Source organism: Homo sapiens, chromosome 6, assembly GCF_000001405.40.
Source record: "Homo sapiens chromosome 6, GRCh38.p14 Primary Assembly".
In the NCBI taxonomy this organism is placed as follows: domain Eukaryota; kingdom Metazoa; phylum Chordata; class Mammalia; order Primates; family Hominidae; genus Homo; species Homo sapiens.
This window is the reverse complement of record NC_000006.12, coordinates 90207126-90226966: the sequence shown is the minus strand read 5'-3', so window position 1 is coordinate 90226966 and position 19841 is coordinate 90207126. Positions and strand designations below refer to the sequence as shown.

At 41.5% G+C, this 19841-nt stretch overlaps 1 protein-coding gene across 2 annotated transcripts in view, besides 2 other annotated features; it reads left to right on the top strand.

Annotated features, from left to right (window-relative positions):
- Positions 1 to 19841, top strand: part of BACH2 (BACH transcriptional regulator 2) — a 370316-nt gene that overhangs the window by 69877 nt on the left and 280598 nt on the right. The gene's annotated exons all lie outside the window — the stretch shown is intronic.
- Positions 3702 to 4901: an enhancer, noted in NCBI's record as "P300/CBP strongly-dependent group 1 enhancer chr6:90931785-90932984 (GRCh37/hg19 assembly coordinates)". NCBI's record gives its function as "activates an origin of replication core promoter dependent on BRD2, BRD4, P300/CBP, MED14 and CDK7 cofactors, with strong dependence on P300/CBP, by STARR-seq in HCT116 cells {active_cell/tissue: HCT116}" and the evidence as "EXISTENCE:reporter gene assay evidence [ECO:0000049][PMID:35650434]".
- Positions 8600 to 9258: an enhancer, noted in NCBI's record as "H3K27ac hESC enhancer chr6:90927428-90928086 (GRCh37/hg19 assembly coordinates)". NCBI's record gives its function as "activates a minimal SCP1, AML or CMV promoter by ChIP-STARR-seq in primed H9 embryonic stem cells {active_cell/tissue: H9 hESC(primed)}" and the evidence as "EXISTENCE:reporter gene assay evidence [ECO:0000049][PMID:30033119]".

The window sequence follows — 19841 nt, the reverse complement described above, 5'->3', positions numbered from 1 at the left end:
CTCACATACTATGCATGGCAAATCCTAGTCAATGCATACTTTTTGAGAGTGCAAGATGTTAATTGTAGTAAGAGAAGAGAAATTCAATAACAAATGTTTTTGAATAAAGGAAGCTGAAATTTAATACTAATGGTGTTTTCTCTAAATGAAGTTAATATATTATTGTTGTATTAACTTTTCAGGAGTTTGAGGCTGCAATGAGCTGTGATTGCACCATTGCCCTCCAGCCTGGATGACAGAGTGAGACCCTGCCTCTTAAAAAAAAAAAATTCTAAGGACTTGGGCTCTGTGTTTGATTGACAGTAATAGACCAATAGAAGACATTGCATTTATATAGACTTATAAAATAGCATTCACATTTCCAATCAGATTTACAGAATTCTCCCTTATTTTTAAATGTTCTCAGTGGTAACAGTGACGTTGGGACTAGAGTCAGTATTGTGAGTCGTTTATGCACATCTCTTCACAACTCCATGTTCAGTGAGTCATACTGGCAGCTTGAAATCAGCCATGGTGGGAGAGTTTACACCATGGAAATCAAACACTACAAATTGGTGCTCCTCACCCTCAGAGTCTGTTTTTAAACATTTAGCAGCATACCACTGCCCAAAATGGAGTTGAGCAGTCAGGGAGTCTCCTCTTGAGGCAAGTCATGCAGTGCTTCCACTCAACCAAACAGCCAACATGAACATTTTGAAATGTAGGCTGTGTGGCTCCTGAAGAAAAGTCCTTCATAGCTCCACATTTTTCTGAGCCAAAGCCTTGCTGTGATCATAAAGCTATTCATGCTGTGGCCACCACCGTCCGTCCTCCTGGCTCTCACCTCCAGATGCCTGGTTTCACCCCTTTTTCTGTAGAACATCCTAGACCCACTCCTATTTTAGGGCCTTTTCTGTAGGGCAGTGGTTCTCAAACTTTACAGCACATCAGAATCACCTGGAGAGTCTGCAAAAACAGACCACTGGGTGCCTCTCTAGCATTTCTGAGCTAGTGACAAGTTTCAGGGTAATGCTGGTGGCCTTAGGACCCCGCTTGGAGAACCACTGCTTGAACTGATGGCCTCTTGGTTTACCTCTCCCCTCCAGATCTCTGATCCTCTTTTTCTTTCTCTCAGTAAGGCACACCCTGACTATCCTATGTAAAATTGCAGCCTTTCTCCTCCACCACAGTTCTAATTCCTGACTCCAATTTTTATTTATTTAAGTTCCAGGATACACGTGCAGGATGTGCAGGTTTGTTACATAGGTAAATGTGTGGCATGGTGGTTTGCTGCACCTATCAACCTATCACCTAGGTATTAAGTCCCAAATGCATTAGCTATTTATCCTGATGCTCTCCCTCCCCACCCCCCTCTAACAGGCTCCAGTATGCGTTGTTCCCTTCCCTGTGTCCATGCGTTCTCATTGTTCAGCTCCCACGTATAAGTGTGAACATGTGGTGTTTGCCTGACTCCCAATTTTTTTCAGTGCACCTGTCACCTGTTACCTTACAACAAGTTTCTTATTTGTGATTATCGTCTGTCTCTCCCCACTAACTCTAAATTTCACAAAGATAGGGAATTTTGTCTGTATTTTTTTAAAAAACAGGGTATCACTCCAATTATCCAGACTGGAGTGCAGTGGCATGATCACAGCTCACTGCAGCCTCGAACTCCCGGGCCTGGGCTTGGGTGATTCTCCCCCATCAGCCTCCCGAGTAGCTGGGACTACAGGCATGCACCACCATGCCCAGCTAATTTTTTGTATTTTAGTAGAGAGTTTTGCCATGTTGCCCAAGCTGGTCTTGAACTCCTGGGCTCAAGTGACCCACCCGCCTCGGCCTCAGAAAGTGCTGGGATTACAGGTGTGAGCCAGCATGCCCAACCTTGTTTGTTGTTGTTGTTGTTGTTGTTGTTGTTGTTATGATGTATTTCAAGCCTCTAGAACAGTGCCTCGTGGCAGGTGCTCAGTAAATTGTTGAATGAATTAATGGATGAACAACATTGAGATATGAATAATGTATTTCAAATTTTGGTCCCAGCCTTTTAAATTCTAACTCACCAGAGAATCTGAAAACACTTTCTGCAGTTTTGTTTCTCAGCTTCACTGCTCTTAGGATAATGAGGAATGGTTTCTGCCCTGGGCTGAAGTTTGGGAATGACTTGATGAGCCTTAAAATAGCAGGTGCACCAAATTGTTGTTCTTCCATTTACATTTTAACCTCAAAGTCCCTAAGCCAGTGATCTTCAAACTCTGGTCTGCAGAAGTTCCCTGGAGATACTTCAGAGGCTCTGCAAACATCTAATTTGCATTTCATTTTAATATATTTTAAACTATGTTTTATAACTATAATAAAAGAAAATGCACACAAATGTGCTACCTACCAAATTTTAACACATTAGGACCACCAGCACATTGAATTGGACTGCCAAGTCAACCTTGAAATAGTGTTTTCCACTATTTTGGCTTACATATTTGAACTTCTTATAAATAAATGAATCATTGATTAGGAACTTCCATCCCAGTATTTTTCATATTCCAGCCTGATCATAAATTGAACAGGCAAATTCCTCTTGTCACACATATTCAGCACACTTGATGACATGCCAGGCAGCGTTTCAGAGCCTCTGTGGGATGGAGGCTTCTGTGTGGATTAATGGCTAGTTGTACAATAAGTGAACACCACACACATCACTTAGTGATGTACATTCTGTTAGAGGATCATGTCTACCCACTCTACATTTTGGATACTCTTTTACCTTAAATAGTTGTCAAATTATCATTAGTGATTAAAATTTGAAATAAAATCTTGACTGCTGCATTTTCTCCAAGCTTTTAGATTAGTTTTGAGGCATATTATGAGATTATCAAATGAAATGCTAAAGAACTGTTATAATTTCCAATACAACTGTGCCTTACAATTCAAATCTGCTCATTTCCAGAATTCAGGTGCCAAAATTTCCCATTGTAAATTCCAGTGCAAAGGAATTTGAACTTGTTATGTTCATGTCAGCTTCGTTTCTCAGTTTCAGATAGTAAGTAGTAAGAGTAGCAAATAGCGAGAGATTTGTCTGAAAATTTGAGTTTTGAGAGCAGAGATTCAGATAGTGTTATCTGTATTTAGGAGTATCAGGATTCTCTTAATACAGTGAGTGCAACCAAATACAGACACAGAAGTAAATCATATTCTGGATCACTTTTAAAAATCAATTGAGGCTGAGCCTGGTGGCTCATACCTGTAATCCCAGCATTTTGGGAGCTCAGGGCAGGTGGATTGCTTGAGTCCATGTTTTCAAGACCATCCTGGGCAACATGGCAAAACCCTATCTCTACTTAAAAAAACAAAAAAAAAATTAGCTGGGTGTAGTGGTGTGCACCTGTAGTCCCAGCTACTTGGGAGGCTGAGGTGAGAGAATCACCTGAGCCCAGGAGGTCGAGGCTGCAGTGAGCTGAGATCACGCCACTGCACTCCAGCCTGGGCAACTGCAGTGAGGCCCTGTCTCAAAAAAGTCAGCTGATAGAAGCCTTACTATCTGAAAGCCCCACTCCATCTCACAAGTGCCATTGAATACATTATATGAAACAGTTCTAAGTTATACATTATGGAACATTTTGTAGGCCTCTTTGCATATCTGTTTATTAATTTACTTAATGCTCTGTTGTAATTTGTTTTGTCTCCTACACTGTATTTGAGCTCTTTGAAAGTAAGAATTATGTCGTAGCTTTGCTTCCCCAGTGCCCAGCGTTGCCTAACATGTGGTGGGTACTCAGCACATGTTTATTAAGTGTTGGAAGTAAATGCTCGGTGCCACCAAGTGAAAATAGCACCCAGGCAAAAGTTTTCTCAGCAAGGCAATTTGCTTCTATAGAAGGGTGCGTCTCATGGATGGAGCAATGGCGAGAGCACACTGGACAAGGAAGGGGAAGTGGGTCTTATCCTTAACGCAGCTAGTCCCTACTGCTGTGTCTTTCCCCTATTGGCTAGGGTTGGACCACACAGTCTAAGCTAATTCCGATTGGCTGTTTTAAAGAGAGCAGGGGTGCGCGCCAGAGTGGCGGGTTGAGTAGTTTCGGCAGGAAGGACTGTTTGAGAGCAGGTGACAGAGGATGACTAAGGACAGTGCAGGTGACTAAGGATGACTAAGGACAGAGCAGTTGACTAAGGACAGAGCAGGTGACTAAGGATGACTAAGAGCAGATGATAGAGGCTAAGAGGGGGTTGTTTACTGAAACTAGGGGCAAGGAGACATAAAGAACGAGGAAGTTTTAAACTTTAAAATGGAGAACAAAGAACAGGAGAGCTGAACATGCTGAACGTACCATATTGGTTCTTTGAAGAGGAATTTACTATATCCTACATAAGTGACACTGCATTCTACTGCAGAAGGAAGCAAGCTCAAAAGGAACAATGAAACTTCATATTAAATACACAATCAGTGAGCTTTCATTCTAAGCACAAATTTCAGCATGAAAAAAATGTAATGGTTCTGTGAGTCCTTCACTTGATCCCTCACATACAGTCTTCTAAAGTTTTCTGAATTCCTTTTACAAGTATCTTCTGACTCTGACTCTTCCATGCCATCCTACTTGCTCTGAGCCTTGTTCTTCTCTGTGTCCCTTGCATGGACTGTGGAAGCCACCTCAGAAGCCTTCTCCCAGACCCAATGTTTCTGCTTCTTCACATTGTTGCCATTGTCTCATGAAATAAAACCAAGCATATCCTTTGGTCTGCACTGCCTGCAAAATAAGGGCTAAACCTGTGCTTTCCAAATATAATAGTCACTAGCCACAGGTGGCTGTTGAGCTCTTAAAATGTGGCTTGTCCAAATTGAGATGTGCCGTAAGTGTAGAATCCACACCCTGTTTCAAAGACTCAGTATGAACAAAATTTGTAAAATAGCACATTAATACTTTTTATATTGATAGCATGTTAAAATAATACTTTTTTCTATAATATTAAGTAAATTTCTCTCTTTTTATTTGTTTAATGTGGTTATTAAAAAGTTTTAAATTACAGGTTTAGTTCACCTTGTGTTTCTGTTGGCCAGCACTGGTCTAAGCTATATCATGACATTTAGAGTTTCTTATAACCTGGACTCAGTTACCTCTTTGGCCTCATCTCCCAGCCCTTCCTGTCCCTTGCAGAATTTCTCATAACCCCCAGACTCACCAACCCTGTTTATACTTACGGGTTTTAATTTTTTTCACATTCAGTTTCTTCTTTCTGAAATGTCCCTCCTTTTTTAGGTGTCAAAAATCCTGCTCACACTTTTAGGACCTGACTTAATTGTCCCTTGCTGGTGATGTCACGCCCTATTTCCTCAAGCAGAATTAGCCACTCCTTCCCATATAGTGTCTCTCAGCACCTCCATTATTGCATTTGTCTTGCTGTTCTGCCATTAGGTGTCGTCTTAAGTAGACTCCTCAAGGGAAAGGCTGCAACTTATTTCTCTGATGACCACAGGGCAGTACCTCGTGTGTAGTAAGCACTTAATGGATGTTTATTACATTAACTTATGAACTAATTTTCATCCTGCTATACACACTGCTATTTTTATATACATCAGACCTTGATCATCTTAACCATTGGCCATGGAAAAAATTAGATGCTGAGGTGTATAGGACTGGACCTTTCAGCCTTAACCTCAATTTCAGGTTTTGTGTTCAATAAAATGGCCTCCTTTTTCTCACTGGGTGGCTTATGATTAAAAAATTATAACTTTGAACTTAAAAAATCCATGAATATTGTACAGACTAAAAGTATAAAAGGACAGTATAAATTACTGCTTTTTACCTATCTTGCTTATAGGGATTTCATATAAGATTTTGTTTGATTGAAGATTTCACTTCAGAACAAGTTTGGAAAGCTACTGTTCTATTCCTAAATTTCATTTACATTTCTATACCAAAGGTTTCATTTTTATTTTGATGAGATGGTTTCTACTATCATGTTAGTTCACATAAGGCAACACTTCTCAACTTTAGTTGCACAAAATTGGGAAGCTTTTCAAAAATACCTCCCCACTCAGGGATCCTTGTATAATTGAGCTGGAGGAAAGGGGCCCAGGCACCAGTATTTATGAAAAGCACAAATACCTGTAATAAAATGATTCTGCAGTGCTTAGAAAACCAGGTAGTTAACTATGAAAATACTGAAGTTTTAAATTGCTAATTTTTCTTTCTTTTTATTAACTATGCTGTTATTGTTTTTCTTGGCAGTCAAGCTAATGCAATTTAAAGTTTGTATTATGGTTTTGAGACCTCAAACAGCATTTAATAGACGCCATCATCTGTGGACAATTTTCCTAAGGCTTCTGAAATTAAAAATTTCCTTTTCTGTCACTCTCTAAAAACCTACATGCAGCAGAATTTTAATGTCCCTTATTGATAGAAATAGCTAACACAACACCTATTTCAGATCATGGAAATGAGGACTGACAAGGGCTGTGGGTTTAAGAAGTTTACATAGGTAGTGGCCTTCCTGGCACCCTTGTTAGCCTGAATAAACAGTCCTCCCCTGACAAATCCTCTGTAGCTCTGCCACATTGATAAAATCTGACATTCTGGTTAGTCACTTTTTAATGATATTCTTTCTTTTGTTCTTGATATGTTAGAAACCAGCCCTTATTTTTTTCAGTGTGTGGGAAAGAATTAACTTTAATTTCCTAATTCGGTAAAATGGGCTGCTAATGCAGACCTTATTCTTAGGGGGACAGGAAGAAAAGTGACCTAATTTCTATATATCAAATACATCTTCCTTCATACATTTAAAAATGTATAGAGTTATAAAGGACCTTAAATCCTGTAGCGGAGAAACTCTGGGGTAAATACTTTGGAAACATTGTGAAAAAATTCTATAAATTCTGATAGTAGGTTCCATTTCATTGCTGTGTACTATTAAAAAGTGCAGATGTAAATAAGCATAAGTTTTGCAGGTTGTCAATTTGTTACAAGCGGCTGCATGTTCTTATTCTTCTGAAGTGTCATCTCTTTCAATGTGGGCTGTTTAGGCGGAAAAAAAAAAACTCAGAAAAATACACACTTGGGATCAAACCCTTAGTGCAGAAAAAAGAATCAAAACCTGTAGTTAAGTTGGTTATTTGCAGTGGTGGTATGTCATCCTGTGTGAGACTGACGTCAGGCAGATTGAATGCAGAGGCAAACTTCGGGAGCGTGTGTGTGTGTGTGTGTGTGTGTGTGTGTATGTGTTTTAAAGCCCCACTCCCAGAATATGAAGTGAGTATGAAGGGCACCACAGCAACCCCTGGATCTCTCAAGAATGTACCTGTTTTTAACATGCTGGATCAAGTGTCAGCACTCAGTAGATGAGGAAGGGGTAGAGCCCGACTTGTACAGATTCCGCGGATGGTAAATGGCCCTCTGGCGTGTTTACAATACAGCTGTGCATTCTTAATGGCTCTGCCGCTGCCATGTCAGGTAAAGTTTTCTTTGTACGTGATGAATGGCAGAGAATTCTTTAGCAGAAGGAACCAAAGGAGCTGGGAGGAGGAAAGGGGAAGAGAAGAGCGGAAAAGAGAGAGAAAAAGAAACACACAGCTCCAGAGGGACATAGCCTGTGCTTTGCAGTTGCTTGTGTGGATAGAAACCAGATGGTAAGCTGGAACACCCGCTTGGCTATCTGAGGAGCCAAACATATGGTTAATGGTCGGGAGAAATAGCTTTCAGAGCCAGGGCTTTGCTGACTGCCTCATATTACAGATTGTTACAGTGTGTCATTACATTGCCAACCTAAGTGCTTAATACCCACTGCAGGCGCTGGGCATACACTTACAAGAAAGACTTTTAGCTCTTTGCTGGCTCTAAACAGAGAAGTGACATCATAGGGAGGCTGAAAATGTCTGGTGTTGGAGGTGGGGAGAAGGATAATTTTGTAGTGGAAACAACAATTTTTTTTCTTTTTTTTACAAGCCTTCACTCCACTGAAGTCTACTGTTTTCTGAGAACCTTTTAATACTAGACTGGTTCTCTCACTCTCTCAATCTCTCTTGCGTGCACTCTCACTCTCTGTGTCACACACACACACACACACACACACACACACACACACGGAAAGGAAACCGAAATTCACAGCCCAGGCCATGTCCCCCAACTCCAGTGGATTTGACAGGCCTCGTTCACCTGGAAGCCACATCACTGACTCAGAGGCCCTGCATTTGAAGTTTCTGTTTGGGGAGCTTTGGGCAACAGCAGGCCTGTGTTATCTAAGGAACTGCTGAGCCCATTCATCTGCTTTTCACGGCCCGTTTCCTTTTATTTTTAGCCAAATCCGTCAGGCCTGACAGGCGGGTAATTCGAGCCAGAGAAAGGGCAGAGCTCCAGGTCCTTTCCACAAAGCAATTCTTCTCCTCCCTCCTGGGAGGGCTCCAGACTTGGCCTGCTTCAGGCAGATGGATTTGTTGAGTCATGTGAGATCATTTACACAAAAACACAGTGAGGCAGTGGAAATTAAAAAAAAAAAAAAGAAAGAAAAGAAAAAGAGGAGGGTGGGGGAAGAGGAAAGAGGGGAAGCCAGGGGAATGTGCGCTGCCCTGCTGCTGAGGAGCATAGGAATTTTGCAGTGAGGCAGCTAGACTGAGGAATGCCTAGAGTCATTTGTGTATAAGGTAATGTCTAGTTTACAGAGTGGGGCGGGCCAGGCGAGGACGGCGCCTCCAGCAGCTTGCCTCTGTTTAAAAGAAGAAGGTGTTGGGAAACTTTAAAAAAATTTTTAGAGCAACACCCACCAAACAAAGACCACACTGTTGACAGCGTTGGGTTCCAGTAGCGGTAAACTACCAAGGGGCTGGTTTACAGAAAATGAGTTTGCTCTGTGATGTCATACAAGTTTGCTTTGTCCTGACGCCAACATGACACTGAGGCAGCAGAGGAGGGAGAACAGGAAAATTGGAACCGTACTCTTAGTTAATGGTTTCCAGAGATTATTTAGCAGGACTTGAACAGAGGGAGGAAAATATTGTGAAGGATTGCTGCGAGGTGTACCATAATTGCGGTAGGTAAAACAAAGTCATTACTATGGTTTTCTTGCTCAAGAAGGATTGAGCAATGACTTCAAAATGCCAAGTAAGGTATTATTTTTCCCTACCACAGTATTTATTTTCCTTTAGCTTCTGGGGCATTAAAAAAAAAGACCAACTCTCACATCATGGCAAACAGTATTAATGTTAGTGAATCAATTTTGTTTACTGTTTATACCACAAGCCTTTAAAACATTCCATTAAAAAATTGTCTCCCGCTCATTCATGAAATTCTTTTTTTCCTTCAAATTTGCTTACATGCATTAGCTTTGTTTGGATAGGGACTTTTTCCCTTTTTGGCTGGAGTAAAAGAATGCATAAAAGAATAGTGAGTAGATTATCTAAATGTACATTCTTACAACAAATGTAATGAAAATATGCCGCGTGGATGAGAGGGAATATTTGAAAACAGAAAGAAAAACAGAAATGGGGAGCATTTCAAAATAGTCACCCTGATTATCTTTGTTATGATGCATTTCTTCAATTCTGCATTTATTTAGAACCCTATTGTGCAGCTATTTCTTTTAGCCACCCTAGATAGAATGTAGGTCAACATCAACATTGTTCCTCATATTTTGTTGGTATTTTAAAAGTTGAAACATTTTGCAGTTTTTTCCAGAGCTAGATATTCTTAGGTTATTTAGACGGTTTTAGTGACCATAGAACTTCACGTATAAACTCCTTCTGTTAATAGCTACCACTGAATTTTGATAGTAGACACTCAGATCACACCTTGACCTGGAGTAAACAAGGCACTGATGATATTGATGATAACATAGTCCAACACTGAAGCTGTTCCACTTCTTCCAGGCAACTCTGATGGTCTTACTCTGTGTAAGTTACAGCTTTTACTTCGCTCAAGGAGAGAACTGGTAAATTTTTATGGTTGTTAATTGTTTACATTTTGGGGACCCCAAGTTGCATGGTGCCACATTATTATAATGTGATTATGAGTTGGCATGATTTTAAGTCTACCCATATCCTTGAATGTTCCCTCCCCGTCAGGATTTCCCAATCTCAGCACTATTGACATTTTGGACCAGTAATACTTTATTATGGGGTGTGTCCTGTACGTGGTAGGATCTTCAGTAGCATCATTGGTCTCACCCACTAGATGCCAGTAGCACCCTCCCCCGGGTCATGACAACCAAAAATGTCTACAGCATTGCCAGATGTCCCCTGGGAGACAAAACCACTCTGGTTCAGAACTTCTGCTCCACATTTCTTACTCTGGTTTAGAAGCTCACGCTTTACGTCATGAGCTGGCTGCTCAGTTACTTCTAAGATTGAATTAAAGGATATGAAATAATGTTTTAAGTTGGAATTCCAAGTTAAGTAAAGTTTTTGAAGGTGCAGGCAAGAGTACTTTTGAGTATGGTTATGCAGAACAACCTCTCTCTTGGAATTGCGACCTTAGCAGGTGGATCCCCTCAGGACTCCCTTACAGTGAGTTTCCCAGTGCTGTTTAAGAGGAAATGACCCCACCGTCTGAGCCGAGGGAAGTCGACATTAGCAGAAAGGGAACTTCCCCTCAGTCACCTGAGCAGACAGCCTAGGCCCCAGGCTCGCTGCCTGTATATCCAGCCCCAGAAAGAGGGCAAGGCAGCAGCCACAGTTCTTTCTTGGGAGCACAGCTGACCTCCTCCCCATTCCAGCGGCTGTGGTCTCAGAAGCTGAAACTCTCGTTAATAAGGAATGTGGAGCTTTCCACAGCTAAGGCAAGCATAAATTTCCTCTGTTTGTTTTGTGAGGACTAGTGTCAACTGCTGTAATGAGATCAGAGAGGACCCCAGGGTCAGCTGCTGGAACTGCTTTCTGTGGCTGTTCTCTTGGCTGCTTGCTGTCGGAGAACGCAGTGACTCCCTGCAGACCTCCCTGATGTGTTAAGGTGGTTGTGCCCTTGTTGCATTTCTTGCTGTCTTTGCTTCTCTCATTCTACTAAAACATCAGTGTGCAGTCATCCAGTTCTAAATTATGGAAAAGTTAATGGAAGGCAGATTCCTTTCCACAGAACTGAGGGCAGACTTGGGTGTGGAAAATGCAGCCTTGGGAAGGAAGGTGACCTGTTTCCTTGGGGTAACTGCCTGGACCTGCTGCTTCTGGCTAAGGGTAGGTTTCTCAAGGCCTGGGCTACCCGTAAGCACTTTCTACCCCCAATGGCACTCTGTAATGAGGATGAGTTAGTGAAAGAGTCACAGCAATTAGCTTAGGCTACAAAGAACATAATTCTAGTTGTAGCCTAAATGACAGCTAGAATTGGCTACATATGGAACCTAAATATGGCAGAATTGCATTTAGGGAACCCAATTCTGGCAGAATGGTATACTGAGCTCATGCAGCCTGGCCTACTTCTGACCACCCACCCCAAAAAGTCCTAAGCCTGGCCTACTTCTGACCACCCACCCCAAAAAGTCCTAAGGTATTATATTGGTTAAATATTTTCAAGTACATACGAGCTTTAAAGCAGGACAGGGAAATTCTTAGGTGCCAGAAGACATTGATGCCACTGGCCTTAGAGTGTTTCAGACCCAGCTGTAGGCTCTAGGCTCTAGGGGCTATGGTGTCTATACTCACACAGGAATTGCTTGTGAAAGGGGGGCAAGAAGATTTTCCCCAGTCTGTTTGGGGCTTTAAGTCTGTGTGTTGGGGCACAGACCAGGGGGATGGAAACCCAGGGTTACACTGTTTGAATAGCTCTGGGGTTCATAGTTACACTACTACCTGCATGGTATAACTTCAACTGTTTTGGCAGAAACTGGTTTGAGAGCATTGAACGCCCTCAGGCCATAGTGGAGGCAAACACTAGATCCCTGTGGAGAGGCTTAACAACCTGGGACATGGTACTCCCTCAAAAAGAATAAGCTGCACTAAGGAGATGCTGATAATAAGTACAGAATATGGCCAGATACAGTGGCTCATGCCTGTAATCCCAGCAATTTGGGAGGCCAACACAGGAGGATCACTTGAGCCCAGGAGTTTGAAACCAGCCTATGCAACATAGCAAAACCCTGTCTCTACAAAAAATTATCTGGGCATGGGTGGTGCACACCTGTAGTCCCAGCTACTTGGGAAGCTGAGGTGGGAGAATCACTTGAGCCTGGGAGGTTGAGGCTTCAGTGAGCCAAGATGGCACCACTCCACTCCAGCCTGGGCGACAGAGTGAGACCCTGTCTCAGAAAAAAAAAAAAAAAAAAAAAAAAAAGGAACAGAATCTAAGCCCCAGAAAAGCAGAGGTTAACAGTGAACCTTCAGGCCAACTAGAGTTTTCTTCTGCAGATTAATGAAAGTTTCTTCTCAAGAGGAACAAGGCATATAACCCATTCTGGCTTGCTAAGCAGTTTCAGTTGTAAGCACTAGCCCCAATTAAGGTAACATCCTACTTATAGCTTGTCCCCAAGATCTTCTTGAGAATATTTTAGTTCCTTAATTAGAAACTTTTTATTGGAGAGATAGCTGGCCCCCTTAACGCTTCTTTAACAGTGCTCCCATTGCAGTGGATCACTCTGAAGTAACCCATCAGGCTGTCTGTTATTTCAGTTTCTCACCAAATCATAGGAAATATGTTTGCCTGAATTGTACAGCAACCCCCTCCCCCCGCCCCGCCAAGGGAGAGGGAAGTTGAAATTATTTGGAGGGGTCTGGGATTCTTTCAGCATAAAATCAAAGAAACCCAGGTAAATAAGACATGGTTAGTAAACATTTGTTCTAGATGAATATAATTCAGCCTTCTCAATCCAAAGTGAACAAATGGATCAAGAGTTGCCTGGAATAGCCACTGTGTACTCCCTTTGCAGTGACGTGCACTATTGGCAAACATGAGTTGAGAATGCTAAACTTAATGCATGATTCCTTAATTTATTAATAGGACAATGAAATCTCTTTTGTTTAGTTTTTTTTCTTCTAAAGTGCGCAAAAAGCTGTCACCAGTAGTACCCAAATAGTGCCTTGCTGACCTAAAAGTGTGCCATGCTTCTTAAGAAAAAACTTCAGTATTTATTCTTAATTTGGACTTCTATAAAGTTTAATTTCAAAATATTCTGACCAAGCGAGAAGTAGATATGAATATTGACATTAAAGCATCAGAAGAGGAGAGAATGAAAGGAAATAGGTTCAACTGGTGCCAGACTTACAGGAGATCTTCCCAAACATTATAATTAAATTTGGCATATATTGAGTGCCTACTGTATGTATGTAAGGCAGCGGGATAGGTGCTGGGTATTTGGGTACTAGTACAAAATAGACAAGATCTCTTCTTGTGAAATGCTCAAAACAATCCTCAAAAGAATCTCCAGAGATATAAAGAATTTCCCCCAGCTTTAGGGATAAAGGAACAGAGACTGAGAGAGAGCCAGTAACTTGCCAAAAATCACATTCCGAGAGGTGGAGTTGATATTCAGACTGACTTGGCCCCTATCTCTCTTTGCCTACTCTTCTCCCTGGCTTTCTGTGGGCAGTGAAGCCCTAGCAGTACAACCCAGAGGGGCCAAGAGGCAGGTAGAGAGTTTTCTCTCCCGGAGGTTTACAGGAACAAAGAATCCCCTGACTGACATGGAAGGTGTGCAGTAGAAGAGGCAAACTAGCCAACCAGACCCAACTCCTACAAAATTTCCAAAGTATTAGCATGAGTTTCCAACATTAAAACAGCAAATTATTTTACACAGTCTCTCAACTCCGTTTCTTGAGTATCAGAAGCTCTTGGCACATGGGGCTTGTTCCTGCTTTGCTGGGGCTAGAGCTGAGTAGCAGACTCCCCGGATGCCCCATTCCTCACTGTCTTCCCAGACCTGACCTTTCACTCATCTCATTCTTTCTTGACCCTTGCAGTCATCTGAATTTGTGACCCCTGGTTTAAATAGTCACTTAGGCAAGGGAAGTGGGCCAGGCCAAGTAACCTCTTGGGGGCTCCTCTGTGTTGTGCCTTTAAATTGAGATAGTCCTAAATCACTGGAGACTGCGATTTACATTTTACAGTGATAGCCCTGAATCTAAAGATTAGATATCCTGACTTATCATTTGACCAAGTGCAAGAACCCCCTAGCCTGTGTGCCAGAAGTGGGTGTATGAAAGTGATGGACCCTCTACCACTTGTCACTCTTGGCCCTTCCTGGCCTCTGTTTCTCCCCATCTGGCTCTCAGACTATTTGTGTGCGTGTGTTACCAACAATGTGTCTCTCTTTTATAATTTATAATCCTCTTGTTTCCTCCTCTTTATTACCATTTCCTATTGAACCATAACTCATATATTAGTTAAAATTTCAGAACATTCATTTTCAAATTACCTAACCTATCCTTGGGGAGGAAGGCTGTTGTTGATGCTTGATGGGAAGATGCTCTTGTTGTTCTGGCTTAGAATGTCTGTTTTCCATGGTATGCTGTGAAGGCAGCGCACAGGGGAGCAAAGCAGAATGGCAAACGTCTGGTCTCTTGGGGCAGAACCATGTTATAGTGTGTTTGCTGCCTCCATGTGGGGTGGCGAGGACACTGAAGTCATGGAGAACCACAGCCACACATCTGCTGTAACTTTGAGGATGGAGAGGGACCTGCAGGAATCTCCTTGGCAAGCTCCACTCTGTTCCTCTTGCCTCTTCTTTAGGAAGCAGGGAATGAGCCAGCCACTTGGAAAGAAGGTGTGTATGCATTGGGGGAAGGGGGCAGGAGTCTAGTTTCTTTGCCTTTGGATCCTTCAATCCCAGCACCATGCCCCCTATGGTAGAAGGGAGGGATTAGCTTTCTGTAATAAAATGACCTTATATTTTTTCAGTTGAAAGTCTCCAGTTGAAGATTGTCCAGACTTAACTTCAAAGCCATGTGAATTACTCCACCCCTTAAAATAGAGTAGAGGAAATTTGGGATATTGCTCTCACCTGTCCATCTGATTTCCCAAGTTTCTAAGTCCTAGATGCAAGAGCATTTTTTTCTAGACTTCAGAGCCGGTTCACCTTGTATTACTTCACTTACTCCTTCTCCAAAAGCTCTTGGGCCTGGCATAGGCCCTCATGCCCCAGCCCTCTGCCTAAGCTGCTGGGCGTGGTGGTGGGAAGGGTAGGAACAAGAGTCCATCCCACAGACTGGCCTCATGGTACGTTATGTCTAAAAGCTAGTGAGACCTTTAACACTGCGAAGAGTGACCTGCTTGCTCTTGTTGGCCTATCTATCTCCCACAGGAGTGCCTGAGCTACCCAGCTTTGACATATATTACTGAAGGCTTCTAGAATGGACATCATAGAAGGGGGTGGGAGTTGGAGTGGGGAGAAAAGCCCAACTCACCATATTCCATTCAGTATTTGGCAGTATTAGTTGCATTTTCAAGGGTCAGGAGAGCACACACACACACACACACACACACACACACACACACACACACAGCCCTTGACACTTTTAAGCTTCTCTTTAAAGAGCATAGGATTAAAGGTGGCTTATGTTATTCTCAGCATACCTCTATACCACATTAACAGTGATCCAGGTAAAATAGGCTTCTCTCCATGGTAGATGGAGGTTGATGGTAAATAAATAGTGGTGAATCAGGTACGCCTGGTGTTTTCTCCAACTCCCATTTGCTGACACCCAAGACATCAGAGTATAACCCTCAGAGAAGCCATAGGATGTGGAATTGTCACCAGGAGCCCAAATCTCTGGGTCTCTTCCATAGCGAGGACCTGGCTGGTGAGGGGCACTTGGCCATGTTACCAAACCTATCTCTGAGTGTCTTTGTTTGCTTGCCGCCCTTTGTTTTTCTCCATTCTTTATATCTTTCATCTTTTCTTGTCATTTCTCTCTTCTTCTTAGACTTACTTTGTCTCTGCCTTTTTTTTTTTTTTTTTTTTTTTGAGATGGAGTCTCCCTCTGTCACCCAGGCTACAGTGCCTCTGCCTCCTGGTTCAGGCTATTCTCCTGCCTCAGCCTCCTGAGTAGCTGGGATTACAGGCCTGCCCCACCATGCCCAGCTAATTTTTGTATTTTTAGTAGAGATGAGGTTTTTCCATGTTGGCCAGGCTGGTACTCCTGACTTCAAGTGGTCCACCCGTCTCAGCCTCACAAAGTGCTGGGATTCTGTAATTCTGGACCACCTTTCTTCTTACCCATGCTTCTATCCACCTGGAAAGACAAATTATGTTTCATTAACCTTTTAGAAGTCTAAGATTGACCATTGAACCAACTGTTAGGATCAGCTGAGTGGAAGTCACACGGGCTTATGGGATTAACTTTCTCAAGGCACCCTTTAAAGACGTCTGTAGTTTTCCTTTTGTTCAGTACTAGAGGAATCCAACTTCTTAAAACAATAAAAAGAAACATTGAATAATAAACTAAAAAAGAAAACATTCTTGATTCCACCATGGTAACTCAGGTATCTTTTTCCCTAATGCTTTATATTTAAGATGCAGTCTCCTTTTTTAAGCTGTAGATTTTGCTAAGCTTCTTCATAAACTGAATTGGCTGCAAAACAACCAGGTTCCCTCGATTTCAAAGGAGATGGAAAGTACTTGATAGAACAAGGCCAGTCTTTTTGGTTGCTGTCCAGAAGTGAACTGACCCAGTTTCTAAAATTGTCATCTGTTCTCTGAGGCGTTTTCTGTTAAATGGTGGTCTTGGTGTGTGCATGTGCGTGTGTGTGTGTGTGTGTGTGTGTGTGTGTGTGTGTGTTGTTTTGGGGTGTGTGTTGTGTTTATTTTTTATTTCTGGTCTTTCACATGCTTTATTTCCATAGCGTCTTGAAATGAAGTCACTTCTAGTCCAGGGTCTATTGCTTATTATAGCAAGAACCAGGAAAAATTCTTTTACCTCTCTGTGTCTGGTTTCCAAATTAGGAAAACTACCACCCAGATTGGTATTAGTATTAAATGAGAGTATTAATATATAAAAGTGCATTGTACAGTTTGGGGTACTATACAGTTGTATGACATTCTTAATATTTTTTAAAAGATTTACAACCCTGGCATTAAGAGGTTTTCCTTTTTAAAAGAACTCCAAAGGCAGCTGCAACAATTATTAACATTGTTTTTAAGACCCCACACTTAAGAGTCTGTATCATCCTAGGCCCTGTGAGTGACAGCAAAGAAAAAACTATCGTAATATTTATTTTAAAACGTTCTGTGTGTCTGATGTTTCCCTCAAAGGGTTTTTAGCCTGTTTCGGTTGTAAAACAACATACATGAAAATGACATAAGAACAGTTGGGGCGGGGGCAGGAAGGGATCCGTAATCAGTTTAGTGCAAGCTATTTATCCAAGTTCTGAGAGTACGGGGATTGTGGCATGATTGGAGCTGGGTGGGGTTCCTCAGGGAAATGATGTTCAAGAATCCTTGTCTGTTATTATCTTCTTGTGCCCACATTTCCTGTGTTGATACCAATGTGTACATAGAAATTGAATTGTGACATGAGGCATCTCTGCTAGGCATTTGGGCAAGCTTTCCAGTTAAGTGCTAGGCTGTAGTTTTTACATGGATGGATACATACATTGAAAAGGAAACAGCATGTATAAAGTTCTACTTTAAAACTAAGAAATTTATTAGCACATGCTTCTGGAAATTGAAAGAGTAAAAGTTACATGCATTATTTTTTTCAGTCACTTTAAGATCAATTACAATTAGATATTGAATTTTCTTGACTTTGAAGCCATGATTACCCAGGCATCATGTACATGTGGAGATGTTTGGATGTATTCGTACTACAAAGTTGGAATTCCAAGATCTGTGTTGTACATTATTGTTAAAATATGCTATTGCTATGACTGAATGTGGTATTTTCTTTTTTATTATACTTTAAGTTCTGGGATACATGTGCACAACATTCAGGTTTATTACATAGGTATACATGTGCCACGTTGGTTTGCTGCACCCATCAACTCATCATTTACGTAAGGTATTTCTCCTAATGCTATCCCTCCCCCAGCCCCCCACCCCCCGACAGGCCCTGGTGTATGATGTTCCCCTCCCTGTGTCCATATGTTCTCATTGTTCAACTCCCACTTATGAGTAAGAACATGCGGTGTTTAGTTTTCCCTTCTTGTGTTACTTTGCTGAGAATGATGGTTTCCAGTTTCCTCCATATCCCTGCAAAGGACATGAACTCATCCTTTTTTATGGCTGCATAGCATTCCATGGTATATATGTGCCACATTTTATTTATCCAGTCTATCATTGATGGGCATTTGGGTTGGTTCTAAGACTTTGCTATTGTGAACAGTGCTGCAATAAACATATATCTGCATGTGTTTTTATGGTAGAATGATTTATAATCCTTTGGGTATATACCCAGTAATGGGATTGCTGAGTCAAATGGTATTTCTAGTTCTAGATCCTTGAGGAATCACCACGCTGTCTTCCACAATGGTTGAACTAATTTACACTCCCACCAACAGTGTAGAAGTGTTCCTGTTTCTCCACATCCTCTCCAGCATCTGTTGTTTCCTGACTTTTTAATGATCACCATTCTAACTGGTGTGAGGTGGTATCTCATTGTGGTTTTGATTTGCATTTCTCTAATGACCAGTGATGATGAGCATTTTTTCATAAGTTTGTTGGCTGCATTAATGTCTTCTTTTGAGAAGTGTCTGTCTATATCCTTTGCCCACTTTTTGATGGGGTTGTTTTTTTTCTTGTAAATTTGTTTAAGTTCTTTGTAGATTCTGGGTATTAGCCCTTTGTCAGATGGGTAGATTGCAAAAACTTTCTCCCATCTGTAGGTTGCCTGTTCACTCTGCTGATAGTTTCTTTTGCTGTGCAGAAGCTCTTTAGTTTAATTAGATCCCATTTGTCAATTTTGGCTTTTGTTGCCATTGCTTTTGGTATTTTAGTCCTGAAGTCCTTGCCCATGCCTATGTCCTGAATGGTATTGCCTAGGTTTTCTTCTAGGGTTTTTATGGTTTTAGATCTTACATTTAAGTCTTTAATCCGCATGTGGTATTTTTTTTGGAATCTGTATTTCAAATAGCCAAGGAGTGATTTGCAATTTCCTCTCTCTATCATCTGATTTATAAAAGGAACGTAGTAATATTATGTTCATAGAATAGTAATGTGCATGGAGTAGGAGTTTATCTTTGAAAATGTAAATTGCAAAATCATTTTCTTAGCAGTGAAAGATGTTAATATGGGGAATACAGCTTTGGAATTCTCCATGTCCTGGACTTAGTTAGCAGACATGTTATTCTCCAGTGTAGACAAAGGCTGATTACTAAGAACTAAAGATGGTTATGGTGGGCTTGTGGGGTTATAAGTACCTTTTTCTTTTCCTGTTGAACATTTTCTATAGTCTTAATATATTATAATTAAAAATAGTATATTTTTCATTTTTAAAAGCACTGCAGTTCCAGTTAAACCTCCGATTCCATGTATTATGGGAAGGTGCAGATATATAAATCCCTCCTAGATGCAACTTAAAAAAATAACACACAAATTGAGTATCAGGAACCTTACAATATTTTGCTCTCCTCTCAGTTCCACCTGTAAACACCTTTCAGAGGAAAAGGCTACAAGTCCATTTAAGTAATTGAAGTCATTTTTAAAATATTTTCCCCTAATATTTGACAAATTAACCTTGAAACTGGCCAGGTATGGTGGCTCATAATCCCAGCATGTTGGAAGGCTAAGGCAGGAGGATCACTTGAGCTTAGGAGTTTGAGACCAGCTTGGGCAACATGGCAAAACCCTATCTCTTCAAAAAATACAAAAATTAGCTGGACATAGTGGTGCACGCCTGTAGCCCCAGCTGCTTGGGAGGCTGAGGTGGGAGGATCACTGTAGCCGAGAAGGTTGAGGCTGCAGTGAGCCGTGGTCATGCCACTGCACTCAAACCTGGGCAACAGAATGAGACTCTATGCCAAAAAAACAAA